Source organism: Homo sapiens, chromosome 7, assembly GCF_000001405.40.
Source record: "Homo sapiens chromosome 7, GRCh38.p14 Primary Assembly".
Taxonomy (NCBI): Eukaryota; Metazoa; Chordata; class Mammalia; order Primates; family Hominidae; genus Homo; species Homo sapiens.
The window spans coordinates 106,630,782-106,636,781 of record NC_000007.14 but is presented as its reverse complement, the minus strand read 5'-3'; positions in this window follow the sequence as shown (position 1 = coordinate 106,636,781).

Genomic DNA, 6,000 nt, shown 5'->3' with positions numbered 1-6,000 from the left:
AGTCATGCTCATTTGTTTCCCTATTGTCTATGTCCTTTCACACTGTAATGGCAAAGTTGAGTAGCTGTGGCAGAGACTGTATATGGTGATCCTCACTTTGCACTACTGCTTGGAATGCTGTAAATTGCAGTGAAAGTTAAAATTCAACTGCATTTCTAGCATCATACAGTGACATTCCTCCCTCCCTCCTTCCCTTTTCTTTCTTTTTTTTCCTTCCTTCCTTCCTTTCTTTTCTTTTTCTTTTCTTTCTTTTCTTTTCTTTCTTTCTCTTTTCTTTCTTTCTTCCTTTCTTTCTTTCTCTCTCTCTCTCTCTCTCTCTCCCCCTCCCTCCCTCCCTCTCTCTCTCTTTCTTTCTTTCTTTCTTTCTTTCTTTCTTTCTTTCTTTCTTTCGTTTTTTGTTTGACAGAGTCTTGCTCTGTCACCCAGGCTGGAGTGCAGTGGCATGATCTCAGCTCACTGCAACCTTCACCTTCTGGGTTCAAGCAATTCTCTTGCCTCAGCCCCCCAAGTAGCTGGGCTTACAGGTTCATGCCACCACACCCAGCTAATTTTTGTACTTTTAGTAGAGATGGGGTTTCACCATGTTGGCCAGGCTGGTCTTGAAGAATTCCTGACCTCAGGTGATCCGCCCGACTCAGCTTCCCAAAGCGTTGCGATTACAGGCATGAGCCACCGCGACTGGCCTCTTTTCTTTCTTTGTTTTTGTTTCTACCCCCTGCCCCCTCCCCGCCTCCCTCTCTCCCTTCCTTCCTTCCTCTTTTCCCTCTCTTAAATTTATTTCTTATTATTAACAGTAAATACCCATCAAGTGATAACAAGAAAGAAAAAGTAGACTTTGAATATCAAGCTTTTAAGATACAGTGGAGTGTGTATTACTTTGCTATATAATAGAATTACTTGGCAAGACATTTTGCTTACTATGCAATGACAATATAGTTATGCTAAAAGAATACAATAGATGTCAACATAACCAGACTGAACAATCATTGTGACATTCTCATCTCACAGGAAAGCAATGATTAGAAAAATTTAAACTTGAATTTCTCATCAAAGCAGAATTTCTTCACAAAAACAAAAAATGAGAATGAGCTTGCAACCAAAGAAGTTTCTGAGTGGCTTGTTAGCCAAGCAAGGAAAGCGGTTTACCCATGGTGAGTTAACTAAATTGAGATCAATTACAACAGCCAAAGAAATGTGTCCAGAGAAAATAAACTTGTTTAAGACCTTTAGCCTTCCAGTAAGAACAATTGCTCAGAGAGTTGAGGACATTGGAAGCAACATCAATAGTCAATTTAAAAAAAAAAGACAAATAATTTAGGGTGGTTTTTCTTGGTTCCCGATGAGCCCACAATGTTACTGATACTGCTCAGTTGTTACTGATTCAAGGAATCAATGCCAATTTGGAAGTGACTGAAGAATTAGCTTCTATAAATAGTCTGCATGGAGCAACTAGAGGTGAGAATATTTTCAAAGAATTTGAGAAAACACCAATTTAGTACAACCTGTGGTAGAATCTGCTAAGAAATACCAAATCTGATGACAGTAAAAATATGTGTGAAATTGTAAGAGATTTTCAAAGAATTTGAGAAAATACTAATCCAGTACAATCTGAGACGGAATCTACTACGATATGTCACACTTAATGGTAGTAAAAATATGTATGAAGCTGCAAAATGCTTAGTTGGATAAATTTACAAAGGTTGGGAAAATGTAAGGCATTTAAAATCTACAGTTATTTATTGTGTTACTTATTAGTGGGTTCTTTGCTGAAAATGTTTTTATCTGGTATGTGTCATTGATCCAAGTTTCAGTGGTAGACTCATTCACTCTCATGGACATAACCATAATCAGTTCCATGAATTTTTGTTAGAAAGAGAAGCTGAATATCCTGACTTGCTGTACCACACAGCAATTCAGTGGTTCAGCAGTGGTAACGTTTTATTGTAATTTTTTGGAGCTCAGGGCTGAAGTTGAAATTGTTTAAAATGAGAACGGTCCTCAGCCACTACTAAGCAATACTGAATGGCTTTAGAAATTAGTTTTTGCTGTAGACTTCATAGTATTTCTTAATGAATTTCACCTAAAATTACAAGGCCAAGCAGTGCTCATATAAGAAATTTATACTGCAGTAAAGTCATTTCAACAACTAACATTACTTGAATGTCAACCTGCCCTATACACATCCAGTGTTACTAAAAGATAAAACAAGAATTGAGATCTCCATGCAATTTTCCTTGCAAATTTGCAGTGGTTATATTTTCTGAGTTCTAACTGCAGTCTCAGTAACATCTTTTGGACTCAATGCAAGGGCAAAACAAATTTCCATATTTCAAAATCCATTTAACCGAACATTTGAAGGGCTTCCATTGAGCCTTCAACTGGAAGCTATTAATTTGCAATGTAATCATATGCTAAAAATGTCAAGGGAAACATTTAATAGAACCCTACAAATGCCTTTCAAGTGATCAATATGCTCAATTAAAATCATATGCTCACGAATCAATATTAGTATTTGGCAGTTCTTATCGCGTAAAAAGATATTTTCAAAGATGAAATACTCATTCACTTGTGGAATTGCAATACTCAATGAGATACAATCTCAGCATAGATCAGCATTAACAAATGAACATTAGCAATCAACATTGATAATGGGCCAATCACATTTGAATCCCAATGCAGTGAAATGTTATTACCCTCAAAAGAATTCCAGTCATTATTAGACCTGTACTACAAAAAAATTATACACAATTATTTTTATATTTTAAATTTTGTCAGTAAAAAATGCATGAAAATGTGTTTTCTTTCTTGTTTTATAAGTAGTTATATAAGACTTTTGCCTCTTGGTCTGCAAAGCCTAAAATATCTACTATCTGTCTCTTTACAGACACTTTTCCAATCTCTGATCTAGAACACTTGATTTCCTCTATGCTAGAAGACAGTCTGAGGTTTCAACTGGAAAAGCCCCAGGGACAGGGTTGATAATTTTTAAAGATCTTTGTATATTACAAATGGAACAAAGAAAGCTGTTACGGGTTGTCAGCTGATGTCAGTCAAACTGTCATGAAAAAACTGGACTATGAACAAAAGTGGGTGCCTCTATTCCAACACAACTGTATTAGTTTTCTAGGGCTGCCATAACAAAGTACCACACACTGGGGGCTTAAGAGAAACAAAAATGTGTTCTCCCACAGTGCCAGAAGCTAGAAGTCCAAAATCAAGGTGTCAGTAGGACCATACTTCCTCTGAGGCGTCTAGAAAATAACCCTTCCTTGCCTTTTTCTAGCTTCTGTTAGTTGCTGGCAATCCCTCAGTATTCCTGGGCTTGTAGCTGCATCACTTCAATCTACGTCCACTGTCTCACAGCCTTCTTTCCTGTGTGTCTGTCTGTGTGTACATCTCCCCTTCTGATAAGGACATCAGTCACACTGGATTTAGGGTCTACCTAAATCCATTATGACCTTATCTTTATCTAATATACCCGCAAAAAACTATGTTAAAATTTATTTGAAAAATGAATTATGACAGCTACAAGTTTCTTTTGACAAAATTTTATTTATTCATTTTAAAGCAGAAAGTTATAAGGTAGTGGAGATTCAGGAATTGCATCTCCAGAGATTTTAAGAAATAGGAAGAAGAATAAGATGTCTATCTTCTATTTCCAAAAAAAGGCACATTCTAAGTTCCTGGGTGGACATGGTAGGGACACATTCAACTCAATACCTTTTAGCAGTGAAAGGAGCAAGTGATCAAAATTGTGCTTAGCCAGAAGGCTTCAGGACCCATGGTAAACAGAATTATGCTCTTCTCCCCAACCCCCACCAAAGAATCATATAATAATCACTGAAACCTGTGAATACGTAGACTTACATGGCAAAAAGGGACTTTACTGATGTGATTAAGAATCTCGAGATGAGAAGATTATCCTGGGTTATTTGAATATGCCCAGTGTAATCACAAAGGGCCTGATAAGAGGGAGGCCGGAGACTCAAAAGCAGAAGAATGAGATGAAACAATGGAAGCAGAGATTGAAACGATGGAAGCAGAGGTTGGAATGATGAAAGCAGAGGTTGGAACGATGGAAGCAGAAGTTGGAACGATGGAAGCAGAAGTTGGAATGATGGAAGCAGAAGTTGGAATGATGGAAGCAGAGGTTGGAATGATGGAAGCAGAGGTTGGAATGATAGAAGTAGAGGTTGGAATGATAGAAGCAGAGGTTGGAATGATGGAAGCAGAGGTTGGAATGATGGAAGCAGAGGTTGGAATGAGGGAAGCAGAAGTTGGAATGATAGAAGCAGAGGTTGGATTGAGGGAAGAAGAGGTTGGAATGTGGAAGCAGAGGTTGGAACGATGGAAGCAGAGGTTGGAACGATGGAAGCAGAAGCTGGAATGAGGGAAGCAGAGGTTGGAATGAGGGAAGCAGAGGTTAGAATGAGGGAAGCAGAGGTTGCAATGATGGAAGCAGAGGTTGCAATGATAGAAGCAGAGGATGGACTGACGGAAGCAGAGGTTGGAATGAGGGAAGCAGAGGTTGGAATGAGGGAAGGAGAGGTTGGAATGAGGGAAGGAGAGGTTGGAATGAGGGAAGCAGAAGTCGGAATGAGGGAAGCAGAGGTTGGAATGAGGGAAGGAGAGGTTGGAATGAGGGAAGGAGAGGTTGGAATGAGGGAAGCAGAAGTCGCAATGAGGGAAGAAGAAGTAGGACTGATGGAAGCAGAGGTTGGAATGATGGAAGCAGAGGTTGGAATGAGGGAAGCAGAAATTGGAATGATGGAAGCAGAGGTTGGATTGATGGAAGCAGAGGTTGGAATGATGGAAGCAGAGGTTGGAATGAGGGAAGAAGAGGTTGGTTTGAGGGAAGCAGAGATTGGAATGATGGAAGCGGAGGTTGGAATGATGGAAGCAGAGGTTGGAATGATGGAAGCAGAGGTTGGACTGATGGAAGCAGAGGTTGGAATGAGGGAAGCAGAGGTTGGAATGAGGGAAGCAGAGATTGGAATGATGGAAGCAGGGGTTGGAATGATGGAAGCAGAGGTTGGAATGGTGGAGGCAGAGGTTGGAATTATAGAAGCAGAGGTTGGACTGACAGAAGCAGAGGTTGGAATGAGGGAAGCAGAGGTTGGAATGAGGTAAGGAGAGGTTGGAATGAGGGAAGGAGAGGTTGGAATGAGGGAAGCAGAAGTCGGAATGAGGGAAGAAGAAGTTGGACTGATGGAAGCAGAGGTTGGAATGATGGAAGCAGAGGTTGGAATGAGGGAAGAAGAGGTTGGAATGTGGAAGCAGAGGTTGAACTATGGAAGCAGAGGTTGGACTGATGGAAGCAGAGGTTGGAATGAGGGAAGCAGAGACTGGTTTGAGGGAAGCAGAGGTTGGACTGATGGAAGCAGAGGTTGGACTGAGGGAAGCAGAGGTTGGAATGAGGGAAGGAGAGGTTGGAATGAGGGAAGCAGAGGTTGGAATGATGGAAGCAGAGGTTGGAATGATGGAAGCAGAGGCTGGAATGAGGGAAGCAGAGGCTGGAATGAGGGAAGCAGAGATTGGAATGATGGAAGCAGAGGTTGGAATGAGGGAAGAAGAGGTTGGAATGATGGAAGCAGAGGTTGGAATGATGGAAGCAGAGGTTGGAATGATGGAAGCAGAGGTTGGAATGATGGAAGCGGAAGTTGGACTGATGGAAGCAGAGGTTGTAATGATGGAAGCAGAGGTTGGACTGATGGAAGCAGAGGTTGGAATGAGGGAAGCAGAGGTTGGAATGATAGAAGCAGAGGTTGGAATGAGGTAAGGAGAGGTTGGAATGAGGGAAGGAGAGGTTGGAATTGTGGAAGCAGAGGTTGGAATGGTAGAAGCAGAGGTTGGAATGGTGGAGGCAGAGGTTGGAATGATGGAGGCAGAGGTTGGAATGATGGAGGCAGAGGTTGGAATGATGGAGGCAGATGTTGGAATGGTGGAGGCAGAGGTTGGAATGGTGGAGGCAGAAGTTGGAATGATGGAGGCAGAGGTTGG